The 20695-nt window shown below is 36.5% G+C and overlaps 1 protein-coding gene across 59 annotated transcripts in view; it reads right to left on the reverse strand.

Annotated features, from left to right (window-relative positions):
- The window catches only part of INPP4B (inositol polyphosphate-4-phosphatase type II B), an 823376-nt gene that overhangs the window by 40557 nt on the left and 762124 nt on the right, over positions 1-20695 (reverse strand). For 56 of the 59 annotated variants that reach the window (NR_169617.1, NR_169615.1, NR_169599.1 and 53 more), the window contains one exon: positions 18315-18469. Coding sequence is in view for 50 of the 59 variants with exons in the window: in NM_003866.3 (NP_003857.2) it covers positions 18315-18469 (155 nt within the window). In the remaining 9 variants the exon portion in view is untranslated. Of the gene's footprint in view, positions 1-6138; positions 6299-18314; positions 18470-20695 lie in introns of all 59 variants that reach the window. The other 3 variants (NM_001385347.1, NM_001385348.1, NM_001385362.1) reach the window with 1 other exon arrangement.

The following is a 20695-nucleotide window of genomic DNA, read 5'->3' on the forward strand; positions in this document are numbered from 1 at the left end:
ATATTTTTCATCTTCCTTTCATCTTAGCACTAGTGCCAAGGTTATTAGTGTACTTTTGTTATTCAGGGGATGTGGGCAAAGATAGCAAAATACCCATAAAAATATTTATGAAAAAACTAAATAAAGCATACTGCAAAGAAATGTGACTTTCTTTTACCTTGCCATAAATAGAAATGCAACAGAGTTTCCACTTTCCATTATGGTCTGAAATCATAACCTCTGTGGTGAAATTTTAATTTATAAACTAACTTTAAGGATTGCATAATGGAAGGTTATAACTGACTACATGAATATCAAATGTATAATTTTCTGAAAATAGACTTATTTCAACCCCAAATAATGTCCCATGATTTAGAATTAATTTCTAATTATGTACAATTTCTGTGTACTATAATAATTCAACCTTCAAGACTAAATCCTTGCTACAACATTGTTGTACAGCAAAGTTATAATGGCTATTTTCTTCTGAAACATCAAATCTTTTATTATTTAGTGTATCAAAAATCAGCTCAATTCTCTGTTCAGGAACCACATGATACATTAGCAGCTTTTAAGTTATTAACATACACAATAAAATTGTATGTATGTAGTCAAACCACAGAGGAAAAAAAGATGAAACTCATCAAATGCTTGTTGGAATGTGGGCTTCCACAGTCTGTCAACCAGATGTTTCTCATGTGGTCAAGCTGAACCCATGGTAGGTCTACACAGTGGTCTCGGTTGCCATTTAACTTTATGACCAAGTAATACTTAACAGTATGTACCTTGAACATATGCATATGAGATGTTTGTTATATGAAAGATTTTTTTTAATGGCAACTACAGATACTAGGAGTTTTCAATAAATCTATTTCAAGAGCAGCTGCTATAAAATTGGTTCATTCTTGTGAAGTGGAAGGCATTTTTCCCTTTTTTTCTGGCAAAAATAATATATCTTGACAGCTCTAATATGTCTTTTTCTCACTTTTGTTCTAGTCTATTTTCTTCAATAGAAAAAATCTTTAGCACAAAATCAAATAAAACTATTAGTGTTATAAAATTCTGTGAATTTATGTTATAAAATTAAATTATGAAACAAAACTGAACAAAAGATGACAACTATTGTATTTCTATTTTCAAAAACAAAAGAACAGTCAAAGTGATTTGAAAACTCTAAAGCATATAATAAATATAATGGCACAATTTTCTCAAATAGTTGAGAAAACAGACATCATTTTGAAAACACACAAATTCAGATGTAAGAAAACAGATATTTTGCAGTTTTAAAAAATTTAGTATTTTCAGCTTGTATTGAAGGCTGCTAAGAGTAAATTTAGGAAGAGTCTTGAGTATAGGATATAGTGAATAGTTTATGTGATTTTATTGTTATTTAAGTATTTACACCCTGCCATGTTTCAAAAAGAATTTAAGGCAGTTTACATTGATACATCAAATTCAGTAAGATATCAGGAATAAAAAGTGAGAAAGAAACAGTAAGTGCAAGAGTAATGTCATAAAATGGAGTTAAGAATGAGGCCAACACACACACACACACACACACACACACACATACATAGTGAAAGCCTATTAAAGAATGCTATACATCTGAAGTAGATGAATCACAAAATTGGCCCTGAGCTTTTTAGTAGTCTCTACAAAAAGGAAACTACAAAATTAAAGCCCACATGTACAAATACAATCACACATCGCCCCACCCCAGACAAACACATATGCACATATGCCCCTGTTTTGTTGTAGGGAATCATTCATTAGCTGAATGTTAATACTCTGGGAATGACTGCACAGAATACTCACAAAGAGGGAACTTTACAGAGGAATAAAAAATGTCTGACAACATGGATGCACCTGGAAAATGTTATGCTAAATGAAAGAGAGCATTCACAAAAGACCACGAATTGTATAAATCTATTTATATGCAATGTCCAGATGAGGCAAACCTAGTGGTTTCCAAGGGCTGGGGGGATGGCATTTGGGGAGACACTGGTAATGGAAATGGGGTTTCATTTAGGAGTGCTGAACAGGTACTAAAATTATTGTAGTGATAGGTGTACAACTCTGTCAATATACTAAAAACTACTGCATTGTACCCTATAATATGTTCACTAGTTTATTATAAAGGTATTACAAATAATACAGATGAAGAGATGTGTGGGGTGAGGTATAAGGGAAGGGATACGGAGCTTCCATGCACTCCCTGGGTGCACTGCCCTCCAGGAACCTTCATGTGTTCAGCTATCTGGAAGCTATCTGAACCCAGTTCTCTTGGATTTTTGGGAAGCTTCATGATATTAGCATTCCTTTCCCCCAAGAGTGTAGAGCACCACCCTCTCTGGGAAGAGTCTCATGATCACATGAATATCAAATGTATAATTTTCTGAAAATAGACTTATTTCAACCCCAAATAATGCCCCATGATTTAGAATTAATTTCTAATTATGAACAATGTCTATGTAATATAATAATTCAACCTTCAAGACTAAATCCTTGTTACAACATTGTTGTAGGCAAAGTTATAAGTAATCACATAATCTCTATTTTCTTCTGAAACATCACATTCTACAGTCTACACAAAACACTTTAAATGGGTGGGTGTTATAGTCTGGTAAGTACATGTGAATTGTATCTCAAAAAAGATGTTAAAAATGTAACAATATCCTTACACTAGACAAGCGGTTATCAAACTTAAGTGCACATCAGAATCACCTGGTGAGCTAATTAAAACACTGATTGCTGGACCCACGTGTGGAGTTTCTGGTCCAGTAGTTCTGGGAAGGGCCTGAGAATGTGCATTTCTAACAAGTTCTTGGATGATGCTGATGCTGGAATTACTCTTTGAGAACAAATGTGCCTCTCCTAGCAAAGGAAGCCGTGACAGAAGGTACCTGGAAAATCGGGATACTCTGACCCTAATAATGTGCTTTTCCAATGGTCTTAGCAAACGGCACACCAGGAGATTATATCCCGTGCATGGCTCCGAGGGTCCCACACCCACAGAGCCTCACTCATTGTTAGCACAGCAGTCTGAGATCAAACTGCAAGGCAGCAGCGAGGCTGAGGGAGGGGCATCTGCCATTGCCGAGGCTTCAGTAGGTAAACAAAGCAGCCAGGAAGCTCGAACTGGATGGAGCCCACCACAGCTCAAGGAGGCCTGCCTGTCTCTGCAGACTCCACCTCTGGGGGCAGGGCATAGCTGAACAAAAGGGAGCAGAAACTTCTGCAGACTTAAACCTCCTTGTCTGATGGGTTTGAAGAGAGTAGTGGTTCAACCAGCATGGAGTTTGAGATCTGAGAACGGACAGACTGCCTCCTCTAGTGGGTCCCTGACCCCCAAGTAGCCTAACTGGGAGACACCTCCCAGTAGGGGCCCACTGACACCTCATACAGCTGGGTGCCCCTCTGAGACGAAGCTTCTAGAGGAAGGATCAGGCAACAACATTTGCCCTTCTGCAATATTTGCTGTTCTGCAGCCTCCGCTGGTGATACCCAGGCAAACAGGGTCTGGAGTGGACCTCCAGCAAACTCCAACAGACCTGCAGCTGAGGGTCCTGACTGTTAGAAGGAAAACTAACAAACAGAAAGCACATCCACACCAAAACCCCATCAGTACATCACCATCATCAAAGACCAAAGGTAGATAAAACCACAAAGATGGGGATAAACCAGAGCAGAAAAGCTGAAAATTCTAAAAATCAGAGCACCTTTTCTCCTCCAAAGAAATGTAGCTCCTCACTAGCAACGGAACAAAGCTGGATGGAGAATGACTTTGACAAGTTGAGAGAAGAAGGCTTCAGACGATCGGTAACAACAAACTTCTCTGAGCTAAAGGAGGATGTTCAAACCCATTGCAAGGAAGCTAAAAACCTTGAAAAAAGATTAGATGAATGGCTAACTAGAATAAACGGTGTAGAGAAGTCCTTAAATGACCTAATGGAGCTGAAAACCATGGCACGAGAAGTACGCGACACATGCACAAGCTTCAGTACCCAATTTGATCAAGTGGAAGAAAGGGTATCAGTGATTGAAGATTAAATAAATAAAATGAAGTGAGAAGAGAAGTTTAGAGAAAAAAGAGTAAAAAGAAACGAACGAAGCCTCCAAGAACTATCGGACTATGTGAAAAGACCAAATCTATGTCTGATTGGTGTACCTGAAAGTGACAGGGAGAATGGAACCAAGTTGGAAAACACTCTGCAGGATATTATCCAGGAGAACTTCCCCAACATAGCAAGGCAGGCCAACATTCAAATTCAGGAAATACAGAGAATGCCACAAAGATACTCCTCGAGAAGAGCAACTCCAAGACACATAATTGTCAGATTCACAAAAGCTGAAAGGAAGGAAAAAAAGTTAAGGGCAGCCAGAGAGAAAGGTTGGGTTACCCATAAAGGTAAGCCCATCAGACTAACAGCGGATCTCTCAGCAGAAACTCTACAAGCCAGAAGAGAGTGGGGGCCAATATTCAACAATCTTAAAGAAAAGAATTTTCAACCCAGAATTTCATATCCAGCCAAACTAAGCTTCATAAGTGAAGGAGAAATAAAATACTTTACAGACAAAACAATGCTGAGAGATTTTGTCACCACCAGGCCTGCCTTACAAGAGCTCCTCAAGGAAGCACTAAACATGAAAAGGAACAATCAGTACCAGCCACTGCAAAAACATGCCAAATTGTAAAGACCATCAAGGCTAGGAAGAAACTGCATCAACTAACGAGCAAAATAACCAGCTAACATCATAATGACAGGATCAAATTCACATGTAACAATATTAACATTAAATGTAAATGGGCTAAATGCTCCAATTAAAAGACACAGACTGGCAAACTGGATAAAGAGTCAAGAGCCATCAGTGTGCTTTATTGAGGAGACCCATCTCACGTGCAGAGACACACATAGGCTCAAAATAAAGGGATGGAGAAAGATCTACCAAGCAAATGGAAAACAAAAAAAAGCAGGGGTTGCCATCCTAGTCTCTGATAAAACAGCCTTTAAACCAACAAAGATCAAAAGAGACAAAGAAGGCCATTACATAATGGTAAAGGGATCAATTCAACAAGAAGAGCTAACTATCTTAAATATATATGCACCCAATACAGGAGCACCCTGATTCATAAAGCAAGTCCTTTGAGAAATACAAAGAGACTTAGACTCTCACACAATAATAATGGGAGACTTTAACACCCCACTGTCAACATTAGACAGATCAACAAGACAGAAAGTTAACAAGGATATCCAGGAATTGAACTCAGCTCTGCACCAAGCAGACCTAATAGACATCTACAGAACTCTCCACCCCAAATCTACAGAATATACATTCTTCTCAGCACCACATCACACATATTCCAAAATTGACCACAGAGTTGGAAGTAAAGCACTCCTCAGCAAATGTAAAAGAACAGAAATTATAACAAACTGTCTCTCAGACCACAGTGCAATCAAACTAGAACTCAGGATTAAGAAACTCACTCAAAACCGCTCAACTACATGGAAACTGAACAACCTGCTCCTGAATGACTACTGGGTACATAACAAAATGAAGGCAGAAATAAAGATGTTCTTTGAAACCAATGAGAACAAACACACAACATACCAGAATCTCTGGGACACATTTAAAGCAGTGTGTAGAGGGCAATGTATAGCACTAAATGCCCACAAGAGAAAGCAGGAAAGATCTAAAATCAACACCTTAACATCACAATTAAAAGAACTTGAGAAGCAAGAGCAAACACATTCAAAAGCTAGCAGAAGGCAAGAAATAACTAAGATCAGAGCAGAACTGAAGGAGATACAGACACAAAAAACCGTTCAAAAAAATCAATCAATCCAGGAGCTGGTTTTTTGAAAAGATCAACAAAATTGATAGATCGCTAGCAAGACTAATAAAGAAGAAAAAAGAGAAGAATCAAATAGATGCAATAAAAAAATGATAAAGGGGATATCAACACCTATCCCACAGAAATACAAACACTATCAGAGAATACTATAAACACCTCTACACAAATAAACTAGAAAATCTAGAAGAAATGGATAAATTCCTGGACACATTCACCATCCCAAGACTAAACCAGGAAGAAGTTGAATCCCTGAATAGACCAATAACAGGCTCTGAAATTGAGGAAATAATTAATAGCCTACCAACCAAAAAAAGTCCAGGACCAGATGTATTCACAGCCAAAATCTACCAGAGGTACAAACAGGAACTGGTACCGTTTCTTCTGAAACCATTCCAATCAAAAGAAAAAGAGGGAATCCTCCTCCCTAACTCATTTATGAGGCCAGCATCATCTTCATACCAAAGCCTGGCAGAGACACAACAAAAAAAGAGAATTTTAGACCAATATCCCTGAAGAACATCGAAGCAAAAATCCTGAATAAAATACTGGCAAACCAAATCCGGCAGCACATCAAAAAGCTTATCCACCATGATCAACTTGGCTTCATCCCTGGGATGCAAGGCTGGTTCAACATACGCAAATTAATAAATGTAATCCATCATATAAACAGAACCAAAGACAAAAACCACATGATAATCTCAATAGAAGCATAAAATGCCTTCGACAAAATTCGACAGCCTTTCATGATAAAAACTCTCAATAAACTAGGTATTGATGGGACATGTCTCAAAATAATAGCAGCTATTTATGACAAACCTACAGCCAATATCATACTGAATGGGCCAAAACTGGAAGCATTCCCTTTGAAAACTGGCACAAGACAGGGATGCCCTCTTTCACCATTCCTCTTCAATATAGTGTTGGAAGTTCTGGCCAGGACAATCAGGCAGGAGAAGGAAATAAATGGTATTCAATGAGGAAAAGAGGAAGTCAAATTTCCCCTGTTTGCAGATGACATGATTGTATATTTAGAAAACCCCATCGTCTGAGCCCCAAATACCCTTAAGCTGATAAGCAACTTCAGCAAAGTCTCAAGATACAAAATCAATGTGCAAAAATCACAAGCATTCCTATACACCAATAATAGACAGACAGAGAGCCAAATTATGAGTGAACTCCCATTCACAATTGCTTCAAAGAGAATAAAATACCTAGGAATCCAAGTTACAAGGGATGTGAAGGACCTTTTATGGAGAACTACAAACCACTCCTCAACGAAATAAAAGAGGACACAAGCAAATGGAAGAACATTCCATGCTCATGGATAGGAAGAATCAATATCATGAAAATGGCCATACTGCCCAAGGTAATTTACAGATTCAATGCCATCCCCATCAAGCTACCAATGACTTTCTTCACAGAATTGGAAAAAACTACTTTAAAGTTTATATAGAACCAAATAAGAGCCTGCATTACCAAGACAATCTTAAGCCAAAAGAATAAAGCTGGAGGCATCACGCTACCTGACTTCAAACTATACTACAAGGCTACAGTAACCAAAACAGCATGGTACTGGTCCGAAACAGAGATATAGACCAATGGAACAAAACAGAGTCCTCAGAAATAATACCACACATCTACAACCATTTGATCTTTGACAAACCTGACAAAAACAAGAAATAGGGAAAGGATTCCCTATTTAATAAATGGTGCTGGGAAAACTGGCTAGCCATATGTAGAAAGTTGAAACTGGATCCCTTCCTTAAACCTTATACAAAAATTAATTCAAGATGGATTAAAGACTTAAACATTAGACCTAAAACCATAAAAACCCTAGAAGAAAACCTAGGCATTACCATTCAGGACATAGGCATGGGCAAGGACTTCATGTCTAAAACACCAAAAGCAATGGCAACAAAAGCCAAAATGGACAAATGGGATCTAATTAAACTAAAGAGCTTCTGCACAGCAAAAGAAACTACCATCAGAGTGAACAGGCAACCTACAGAATGGGAGAAAATTTTTACAATCTACCCATCTGACAAAGGGCTAATATCCAGAATCTACAAAGAACTTCAGCAAATTTACAAGAAAAAATCAAACAACCCCATCAAAAAGTGGGCAAAGGATATGAACAGACACTTCTCAAAAGAAGACATTTATGCAGCTACAGACACATGAAAAAAATGCTTATCATCACTGGCCATCAGAGAAATGCAAATCAAAACTACAATGAGATACCATCTCACACCAGTTACAATGGCAATCATTAAAAAGTAAGGAAACAACAGTTGCTGGAGGGAATGTGGAGAAATAGGAACACCTTTACACTATTGGTGGGACTGTAAACTAGTTCAACCATTGTGGAAGACAGTGTGGTGATTCCTCAAGGATCTAGAACTAGAAATACCATTTGACCCAGCCATCCCATTACTGGGTATATACCCAAAGGATTATAAATCATGCTGCTATAAAGACACATGCACACATATGTTTATTGTGGCACCATTCACAATAGCAAAGACTTGGAACCAACCCAAAAGTCCATCAATGATAGACTGGATTAAGAAAATGTGGCACATATACACCATGGAATACTATGCAGCCATAAAAAGGATGAGTTCATGTCCTTTGTAGGGACATGGATGAAGCTGGAAACCATCATTCTTAGCAAACTATCGCAAGGACAGAAAGCCAAACACCACATGTTCTCACTCGTAGGTGAGAATTGAACAATGAGAACACTTGGACACAGGGTGGGGAACATCACACATCGGGGCCTGTCATGGGGTGAGGGGAGGTGGGAGGGATAGCCTTAGGAGATATACCTAATGTAAATGACGGGTGCAGCATACCAACATGGCACATGTATACATATGTAACTAACCTGCACATTGTGCACATGTACCCCAGAACTTAAAGGATAATAATAAAAAAAAAAGTAAATAAAAGAGAACCAATGCAACAGATGATATGAATAGTGGAAATGACTTTTTTTTTTTTTTTTACCTTTCCTCAATATAGTTTGAGGACATAACAACCATTTACAGTTTAGTAAAAACAATGTGATAGGAAGCTGCCATGACAAAGAACCAATAATGACAGTAATAACAGTCATCACCACACATCAGTAATAGCCATGACAGCATTTAATATTTACTGATCCTCACTGTGTAACAAGTACTATTTAAGTGCATCAGTGATCATTGTCTCTTTTAGCGCTCATGACAACCCTATTAGATGAGGATGCTGGTGAAATTATCACTACAATATAAGTTTGACTTTACCAACTGCTTACTATGAACTATACCCAGTTACCAATTTCTTTATATATGTTGTTTCATTTTACAGATAAAGAACCTAAGGCCTCTTAGAATTTCATTCCCACTGCTAAGAAGTGGAGAAATCAGGCAGTCTAATTCCAAAGTCCTTCCTCTTACCCACTTTATGTGCCATAGTGGGGCAGCCTGCTCTTTGCTGAGCTGGCCTAATTGTTAGATTTTAGGGTATTCAGAGCAGTGATTACCCCTAAATAATACTATGGTATTTGAGAGATATCACATGTGATTTGTTACTAATAAAATACCAATTTTGCAAATGATATGCTCTATAAATTACAGTTTTGATCCCCATAATGATGTCATTCACACTCATATGAGTTCTGATAGGCTCACTAAATGGAAGAGAATGGAGTGTAATTATGCATAATGCATTTTTGCTCATAGGGCTTTAGGCCACTATCGTTTGAACATTAATATATTATGCCTAGCATTTGAACTTCTCTGTCATCTGTGGTCTTCTGATCAGGAGAAAAGCTTGCAACATTTTGGGTACTTATTCATAAATACAGTTGCCTCCCAGTTCAGTTTTCTTTAGAAATTGGCCTGTGAAGCCATCCAATTTGTTCCCTTGAACCAGTGTCTAGAGCACTATAACCAATATTCAAGTTAGAAGAAGGGTTGAAGCCATTTTATGACAGTGTTTACCTGAGTATAGCAAGTGTTCTGATGGAAGACAAGAAGTTTTAGACAGTATAATGATAATTCACTGAATTAATGGTTTTGGATTTCTTTGTATATGAGGACAAACATAATAGGCATATTGAATATATGAATTCATGGATATCATTGGCTAGGACAAGGCAGATGGTGTTTGTAGAAAAAATCATTAGGCAGTGAAATGAAAATTATTTCCTTGATTCTCTTGTCTCAACCTTCCAGGGGCATAAATAGACTCTAGGTTTTGGCATAACTGCTCTCCATAGATCATTCAGGTTTGGGCTGCCTGCATCTCAGCCTTCTTTAGTGAAAATGAGACCTTTCTTGGACTAGTTCTTGCTACACCTCATTTTCCAAGTGCAAAGGCATCAATCATCTCTCTAATCAACTGTAGGTTTTTGTTTCTCAGCTGGAAGTGTCTTTCTCTTATCTAAAATGGAGCCCTGTCCCCCTCCCAGCTAAAAAGCTTCACATCATGTCACAGGCTCCTGTCATAGCATGATGCATTCTCTGTCCAAACCCAAGGGATGCTCCTGTCTTATTCCACTGTGCTTTCATTTAAAAAATAAAAATAAAGCACATTTTTAAAAAAATGCACCACTCCTGAAACAGTGTCTTCTAAATGTAACTTAAACACAACAGGCCAGTGGTTTATTTATAAATGCTGGAAACCTTTCATAATTTGCAATTATGTGCAAAACTCCATTATATGAAACATAGAAGATGAGATGAGTGAGAATCTGGATGGCCAGTAAATGTTTAGACAGATATTTAATCTTATTTTGTGTTACTGAGAAAATATAACTTAAACAAAGATAGCACTTTTCATCCATCAGATGGTTAAAAACTCTTACAGTACAAGTATTGGGATGTGTGGAGAAATGGGAACACATGTGCATGCCTTGTGGCTTATAAATTAGTATAGCTATTTGGAAAAGCAATCTGGCAGCATCTAGCAAAATTAAAAATACAAATGCCTTACCACCCATTATACCTATTGGTTTATATACATGGATATACATGTGAGAATGTCTATTACACTATTGTTGGTAATCAGATGTTGGTAAAACATCTGATGTTTTGCTGTTACTTAAAATTAACTAGGGCAATAGATAAATTGTGGTCTATTTATACAAGGGAGTATTATATAAGTTTAAAAGAAGATAACTAGATCTAAAATAAATACAGATCTCAAAAACTTGATATCAGCTGAAGAAAATAAGTTGTTCAATGTGCCACACATTACAACACTTAAACGTAAGCAAAATCACTTGACAAGTGTGATGAATGAATAAGCACTACTCTTATCCACTTAGATAATTCTAACATAGATTTTCCTAACTCCTGGCAACTTACCTAAATTGTATGCATCCTTAAGACACAGTTCAGATTCTACCTCCTCCAGGATACCTCCTGGCCACAGTGATTCTTTTTATCCTCTGAGCCACTTAATAATGAACACTTTCTATGCTCTGGACTCATTTATTTGATTCTGTTCTTGTGGGAATTAGCAGTTTCCCCATATAGGATGCTTAGTGTTATTCTTAGTGCATAGTAAGTCCTCATTGACTATTAGTGGCTATTATAATTTCAAATGTGTTTCTCCATTTGTATAGCATGGTACTCTGCCATAGTAGATATACAAAAGATGTTCACTTTTGACTATGAAAATGACGACCACATATTTCTATTAATGACCTGTTTTCCCAACTCACCTCCAGAGGTGGGGCTCCTGACACATTAATTACAGGATATCCTAACTTGCCAGTGAAAGCTGTGGGAATTCAGGACTTAGACATTCTCTAGTTCCACAAACTGAGTGCTGAGTGCTGCTCTCTGGGGGCCCCGGATATGCACTAACCCCGACTCTAAGCTAAGTTGTTTCTAGATTCCCCGATGCTATAGCTAGGGCTCTAGCAAGATTTCCAAACCCTGTAGCCCACTAGCCCACTGTCACTGAGAGACAATTTAAGCCTTTTAGAAACCAAATGTTAATCCTGAGACTTTTTTCCTAAGACCTCGAAGACCAGGAGAACTTCCCCATTTTAGCAATATCCAAAGATGCACTTTTAGAGAAAAATGTTCTAAGGAAGAACAAGCAGGGTAGATAGAGATGGGGAGAGTGTAGAGAGCAAGGGTAACATTTCTCAGCAGAACACTTCATGCCCACTGGGTGCAGAGACTTTAAGTCATCTCATTTATCACAACACTCACAAGAGGGCAATGGAGCATCATCTCGCCTTCACACGTTAGGAAACTGAGGCCTTGAGATTAATTAATGGGTCCACCACTGCACAGATAATTAGTGTTAGAATAAGGAATTAACTCCAGGTCTTCCTGGATTTAAAAATCTGTGTTTGTGGCATAAGTTAAATGTATTTGTTTCAATTAGATTCATTTCCATTGTATTATTTTATTAAGTTAAAATGTATGTTTCACATCCTTCTATGTCTAGGCACTTAGTTAATAATTTTGGGAGTTGAAAGAAGTGGTTGACTTGGGAAGGTGTGGATAAAGCTGATGGCTGCTCTGTACTATGGCCTCCACACTCACAGGGTCTCAAGTTGCTATGACTGGAAAACAAACACTATCAACAAAAGAAAGTATGGGAAAGAAATAGACTTCAAAATCATCATTTTTCTGTCAATAGAATACTATGACAATCTTGTCAGGCATGAATATAAGAAGAAGATCGACGAAAATTAGCACATACATTTTGTTCAGGAAGTTGAAGTCCTTTGTAGGCCATTCTTTGATTTTCCCAGAAAGATCAGTTCTCTTTTGGGGTTTATAGTGGATGGCTTATTAAAAGCTACTTGCTCTAACATGATTTCTAAGATGTGTATTCTTTGCAGTATCTTTCAACTCACCTTCAGCTGAAGTAAAAACATCCCAAATAAGGTCAATTTTCATGTTTTTATTAATAACCCTGAGATGAAGGTGACTCTCTCTCTCAGCTTATTCCTGTTATTTGCTGCAAATACTGACTGAAGTAATGTAGCAAACACACCACTGAAACTCTCAAGGGAGGAGACAATACTTAGCAATCATGGAAGACCTGTTCCCAATTACGATGTTCCCTACAAACACATCCCTTTCAAGTAGTCAAAAAATAGCACACCAACATGGCACATGTATACATATGTAACAAACCTGCACGTTGTGCACATGTACCCTAAAACTTAAAGTATGATAATAATAAAATTTAAAAAAATAGCTGCAAGCTTCAATTACCTATGCTTACAATGCTTATACTTCTCTTTAATATTTGAAATAGGATATAATATGAAATAATAGCAGCTCTTCTCTAAAAGTACAATCAAAAACAAAGAAAAAAATAAGCTCAAGTGGAAACAAGACTAAAGACAAAAGGAAGAAACTTTTTTATTTCAACAATAATTGAACTACATTACTTAAAAGTGAACCCTATCAGGGAGGAAGTCATGCAAATACATCTTTTACTGACATCAATTGGTTAAGAGTCATTTACTTATAAAGCAGAATACTTCATAAATTATGCTCCCCCAACAGATAAATTACAGGCGCAACATGTTGAGAATATGACATTTGATAAATGAAACTCAATAAGGCCAATGGGCCTTTTAAGTCTCTTATAAATTCAATATTTACTGAAATAGAATGACTAAAGCCCTGTATTGCGAGGGTGATACATAGGTATATGCTGAAACTTACCCTGAGTCTTCTTACTAATGGCATATTAACTATCCTAATTTTAAGGAGCTATGACAGATTGAGGAAGTAACATAGTATAAAACAAAAGACAATTGAGAACTATGGTGTCACATTACTACTTTGTGTAGTCATCATCCTAGAGTTCCTGTTAAGGAAAAATAATAGTACAATGGTATTTTTGTTTTAATTTACTTTATAGAGGCATTAAATTTCCCTATACAATTATTTTTTGTTCAAATATGACATTTTAAAATCCAGTCAAATTTATTATTGTATTTTTAAGGTCCAATCCTAATAGTCTATTAATCAAATATAAGTTTGATTAATAGGAAGTCTGAAAGTTCCTACTAAAAATGCTTTCTGCAAATGCATTGGGACAAGACAGCTCTTAGCATTCCATGGAGAGTCCAAAACTGAAAACTGAATTCTGATAAAGTATTCTCCCTTTCTTAAAAAAAAAAACCTGCAAATTATTAAGCCACCTTTGTGGTACAACTTGTGCCATAGGTGATCAAGGTAGAATTTTGCAATACACATACATTTCAAAACTCAAGGGAAGGATAGACATACCAGGTTTATAGTCTTGTCATAATGTCATTAAAATCAATTACGGATTTAAATTAAAATTGGTTTAAATAAAGTAGACTTTAGTCAAGTGGTTCTCAATCATGGTTCCCCCCTAGAAACTAGTATGTGGTGGGACTTTGCCTTTAACAACAAAAAAAAAAGTTTTCTAGATTTCTGATGGGCTGTGAGGGTTAAGAATCACTGTTTTGGTCTTAATGATACAGGCAACCACTAAGAGATCCTTAGAGAGTCAGATCACCCAGACACCTTGTGTTTAATTTTCTAATCTGAAGAGGCATTTATGCCATTTCATCAAACAGATGGTACCCGAAAGCCCCATCAGGAGTGTGCAGCTGAAAGTAATACTGGATAAGTAGAAAAAAAGGAAGTCTGAATTTTTTGACAATTGTACAAAGGGTGGATTCAGGTGGTGAGCTGAAATGGTTTCTATTGTTTTTGAATTAGGATAATATTTGCCTATTTGTTTTTGAATTAGAATAATAAGACTCTTACTTTCATATTCTGCAGCTTGTGCTTATCAATATGTCACAATCAAGTGATAACTTCATATGCTTAATTTAAAATGCTTATGTATGCACAATACCACCAAATACATAGGACCCGAAAGTTTTAGAAACCCATGTCATTCACGTATTCCTTTATTGTATATTTATTGAGAAAAAATATATACTATGTTCACTGGGTACTGTTCTAGGTACTGGAAATATAGTAGTGAACAAAGAGAAACGAAAATCTCTACCTTCAGAGAGCTGCTTCTTGTGAGGGGATTTCTGAATAAGAGCCAAATGGAGCTTTATTTATTTACTTTCATTTATATACTTTTGCTCATCGTAAATAATTTGAAACTGCTACAGAGATAAGCACAATACAATAGAAAATACTTAATATAGATAAGGACAAAATAAAACTAAATAAAGAGTGATATGATAACCTTGGCGAACTTTATTTTTCCCTTGAGTTTTTATGATGAAGAAACCTTGGTGAATTTTTAAGAAATCCAGAGAAAATAGCCTGGAAGGTGATTGGAGTAATTCAAAGGTAAAATAAACTGCAACTGATGTTAAATAAAATTAAAAGTTGCAGTAAATTCAAAAACATACAAATCAAATTCCTTTAAAACACTGATTTTTAAAAATCCAGAGTTGTTCCCCAGAATGTCTGTAAAGTTCTTAAAAAATTAAATCCTGGGACCCACCTCAGATCTTCTCAATTATAATCCATGTGAGGTCTAAACATATGTATTGCGTTTTAGTATAGGACATGTTGTTTTATTATAAAATTGAACCCAAGATGATGATAACTTAAACTACATCTTGATACATTTTTAAAAATAGATTTAAGGGGTACAGGTGCATCTTTGTTACATGGACATACTGCATAGTGCTGAAGTCTGGGCTTTCAGTGTAAACGTCACCTGAATAGTGTACATTATACCCAACAGGTAGTTTCTCATCCCTCCCTCCCTTCTCATCCTTCCACCTTTTAACACACCAATCAAACATATGTATTTTTTAAATTTCCAGAGGTGGTTCTGATGTTCATTTAAAAACCACTGTCTGAAGGGTGGGACTTGCTAGATGGCAGAGTGAGGAGCTGGGAAAATCTGCTTCCTCTCAAAAAACTCAACTGTAAAATATTGTCAGAATCCAGAATTTTGGGACCCCAGTAATCAATCAGCATTAAGCAGTAACTTGAGAAATGTTTATTCATGAACCACTCACTGTTGTATGTGCGGTAGGAAATTTATAAGAGTTATATGTATAAAAATATCTATAAGAAATTTCTAAGGTGACTTCTTTATCTTAAATTCTACGATTATTTCTAGATATGCATTAGCATCAAAAATGTTTATAAAAAACCTATTCAGGGATTGTGATGCTTCCATAATTAACACAGCATTTGCAAACACTTGCACATTTTTAAAGTGCTATTTAAAGAGCTGATTTACTTAAATAGGGAAGATACTGCATTTGAAACCTTATTTACAAGAGCTGCCAGGACACTTCATTTTAATATATGCTATTGTAGTCCAACCTTATGTCATAAAATATTCACAAACATAAAACTACAAGGATCATAATTAGCTAGATTATACTGCACATGGAAAATCAGAGTATTAACATTACAGCCCTTGATTTTTTAATTTTTTTAACCAACATTATTTAGTGATTACCATGTGCCAAACATTGTTAATTCCTGTACATGTATCATTTCATTTAATCCCCGAGACACTCCTAAAATGGAGCTACTATTATCATGTCTGTTTTAAAAGATGAGGAAACTGAGAGGTACAAGAGGTTGAGTAACTTGCCCTAAGGCACTAAGAGGCAGTGAGAGACTAACTTGCCTATGGGTAATGTATGGCATATAGCCTGGATTCAAATTAGCTGGCTCCCAAACCTCATGTTCATATCTACTCTGCTGTGTTGCCAGAGCTTGTAAACCTATGAGCCTGTATTGTAAGGCAAAATACCCAGAGGGAAATGAAGGCAGTTATTAAAGAAAAGAACTCATCTTATTTTCTTTAAATACATGCATACATACACACAAATACAGGCCAACACTCACACTCTGGCACGGTCCTCATATACAGACAAAACCAAAAGAAGAAGAAGATCACCAGAATACTAGGGATTTGAAGTTAAGCCTTTAGTGTTTTAGATTAAATTTCTAGTGCCTTACCTTAAAAACACAAAAATGAATCATCACAAATGCTATATCATGAGCAAATGTATTGCATATATAATGTCCATCATAGGCAATACCAAAATATATTGTTCTATAGTATAACATGTCCAGTAAATATATTGCCTTTATTTACCTGTTTGAATTATTTTATGTCTAATTTAAGGGTCCCCTCTTCTATCTTAAATAAACAGGCACACCAATTTCATCTTCCAGAAGATTTGTTACCTAAATCAGTTTAGTCCCATGGTGTACCTGACCTATAATATCATGCATTCCTGCATTTCTCACCAAGCACCTTTGTTCCATCTATAGTGACATTTCTGTTCTTTTTCTGCAGATTTGAAGATTTCATACTTGAATTTGGTATTTTACCATTAGTGCTGAGATATTATTTTTTGAAAGAAGTTTTTATATCAACCAAACATGTTGTATATGGCTGAGATGTTCATGTCAGGCCTCTAAGACATCCTCACACATTTATCAAAAAATTATGATAGAGCTCCACGGAAGAATGAAAATGCCAAGAGACATGAAATGGGATGAAATACAGAACTTCAGAAACCTCTCGTTAGTGAGAAAACACAGAGGCATAGAACAAACACAAGCAAACATCAATGTCACCAATGAAAGACTGCAGCAGTTAAAAGAAAACTGATAGCTAATGGCAGGCTAGATAAGAAGCAGCCTTCTCCAGTGAATCATATGACATTCCTTTCTGGGAACCCAGAGCCTGTCCCATGCTTCCTAGTGTGCTTCTGAGCTAGGCTTTGCAGCAAAGAGACAATTTCGCTTAACTTTTTAATTAACGTGTGTCCTTGCTGATAGACACTGTGAATGAAGCACTTTTTCCTTCCCATTACGGCTTACAGTTTAGATTTAATTACTGTGGAAATGAATCAAGAAACATGACTTCGGGCACAGCATTTTAAATGTCGGCAGAGTAACCATATTAATTCTCTATTTTAAAGTATCAGTGTCATCCCATCTTCATGATGAGTGATGTGAAAATAACTTTAGAAAGGAGGTTACTGACCCAGAGATTCTGTGGGCCATGGGAATATCACCTATTAGTTGTAATTTGGAAAGCTTTTGTTTGGATAATGAGTTAGTTTAATTTTGCAAGTACTCATAAATACTTATGCATCATGAAAACTTGCTCTTACAGTGTTATATATGAGATTTTCGGGGCCCCTTAACTTGAGCCAATGAGCTAATAAAATATATAATATCATATATAATAATGCATGTCATCAAATGTGTACACAGCCACGTTTTCTAAAAGTGAAAAGTTTAGAAAAGTAGCCTAAAATGAGTAGGGGAAATATAGATAGAGATGAAATCATTATACAGGTGGAGAAAATTATCTATCTCTGATGTCATAAGCTATAAGCCATGAAAATGCAGTAAAGTTCTAAAATATTTAGTCCTCCAATAAAATATGTATTTTGAAAAAAAAAATAAAAACAACTCAAAATGACCTTAAAAGAAAAAAACTTGAAAAACATGTGAGATACCTTCTCATGCAATCCAGCGCTCGGATAAAGAAGTCCTTGTGTAACTGGTGCTCATCTCTCAAGATTGAGCATTGTTCAAGTGTCACTGACATCGATGTCCTGTCTTTGGCACTTTTACAACAGGTGAAACGAATACCATTCAGTTTGCGGCAAATCTGTAACATATGTAAGAACGAACGTTTCTTGTTCATTTGTAATACCGTAAAGTGTCGGCCTCCTCCAAACACTTCTAGTCTAAACACATCAAATATAAATTTGGGTTTCTGTTAGTTTATGATAGTCAATTTGTTCAATCGGTCTCATCAAATGTAAAAGCATTACCTTTTCATTTCAAAAGCCAACACAATGGACCCAATTTATTTCTTTGTGCATGAGGCATGGAACTGTTGAAGCCATATAAGATGTAAACTATCCAGCAGAGGACGCAGCACACTACCCAAGGGGGGTGCCTGGTCTGCAGTGTAGGACAATGCTAAACTAATCCCAGCTCAGAAATAACACCATCATTGTAAAGAGGAAAAAACAAACAAACAACCAACCAAAAAACTATATTCCCTGGATCAAACAATTGATTCAAATCGTATATAGCTAATATTCTCTTATTTTTCATTTAAGAAACATTTGCTAGTCTTGGCTTTATGTTATGAGATTTTAAACATCCTCATGGTGCCTCACAACAGACAAGGGAACTACTCATCAATACTAAAAAGGAGAACAATAGAAATGGCCACTGTTTATTGCAAATTGACTGTGCTCTAGGGTACAACACTAAGAAATTTCATATACATTTGCTCTTTTTAATAAACTTCACAGGGGCCGGGCACAGCGGCTCATGCCTGTAATCCTAACACTTTGGGAGGCCAAGGCAGGAGGATCATTTGAGCTCAAGAGTTTGAGACTAGCCTGGGAAACATAACAAAGCCTCCTCTCTATTTAAATAAATAAATTAGCTAGGCATGGTGATGCATGCTTGTAGTCCCAGCTACTAGGGAGTCTGAGGTGGGAGGATTACTTGAGCCTGTGATCATGCCACTGCACTGCAGCCTGGGCAACAGAGTGACACCCTGTCTCAAAAAAAAAAAAAACCTCCCAAATTAACAATAAAAGTAAATAAATAAACTTCGCAGAACTCTAGAGGAAGGTATAATTGTTTTCATTTTACGGATGAGGATACTGAGGTTTAGATGGGTTAAGTAACTTGCACATAACAGAGCAGAACCAGGATTCAAACAGAACTCTACTTAAGTTCAAGAATCAAGTCTCTTAATTTCTGTTATGTTCTGTTTTCCTCTATGGTTCTTTCTTTTTGTTATTCTGATTTAAGTCAGAGAAAAATCACTGAGCATCAATACTCTCTTGTCTCATTGCCTTATGAGTAATAGGGGAATCATTCCATTCCTTTGTCTTCTATCCCATGGTAGGGTTCTAACATGAGATAACAATAATCAACTTCGGCATTACAATGCTAATCAGTGTGCATTTAAAATAGATCTAATGTGATATAACAAAGGTCTTCTTTATTATCTGTCATCAAGCAGTCTTTAAAAGTTGTCCGCTTTTAAAAGAAGGTAAAATAATATAGCTAATCTAGAATTTATTACCATGTTTTAATTGTGATTCTTAAACTTGAATTTATACATCACTATTAATTCAGACCTTTGGTACTTCTATTTCCAATATAAGTGACTAGAAAAATGTGAGAGCATGATGTCTCCATACAATCTTTTTACATCTAAAAAATTCTAATCCTTTCAAATAAATAGTATTTCATTTTTAAAAATTCTTAACTATATTTATAATAATAAAATAGACCATAATGGCTATTTATGAGATATGATTTTCAAATTGAATTAATATTCCTTAAAATTTATTGTTACTATCATATGCACTTGTCCTACTTAGAATATTTAATGTTCTAAATTTAAAGTCTAGTGGAGGTAAGGGCACTTCCATCAGAGTACACAGGTTAGGCCTTGATTTCTACAATACCTGAACTATTGACTTAACACACTTGATTGTCATTTGTCCTCTTTAAGTCTTCACTTTTACTATTTAAACTTAAAGAAGAAAAAAACAAATGACTTTATTTTTATTTTTATTATTATTATTTTTGAGACGGAGTCTCACTCTGTCACCAGGCTGGAGTGCTGTGGCTCAATTTCAGCTCACTGCAACCACCAACTCCCTGGTTCAAGCGATTCTCCTGCTTCAGCCTCCTGAGTGGCTGGGATTACAGGCATGTGCCACCATGCCCGGCTAATTTTTGTATTTTAGTAGAGATGGAGTTTCACTGTTGGCCAGGATGGTCTCCATCACCTGACCTCGTGATCCGCCCGCCTCGGCCCCCCAAAGTGCTGAGATTACAGGTGTGAGCCACCACG

This window comes from Homo sapiens, chromosome 4 (assembly GCF_000001405.40).
Source record: "Homo sapiens chromosome 4, GRCh38.p14 Primary Assembly".
Taxonomy (NCBI): Eukaryota; Metazoa; Chordata; class Mammalia; order Primates; family Hominidae; genus Homo; species Homo sapiens.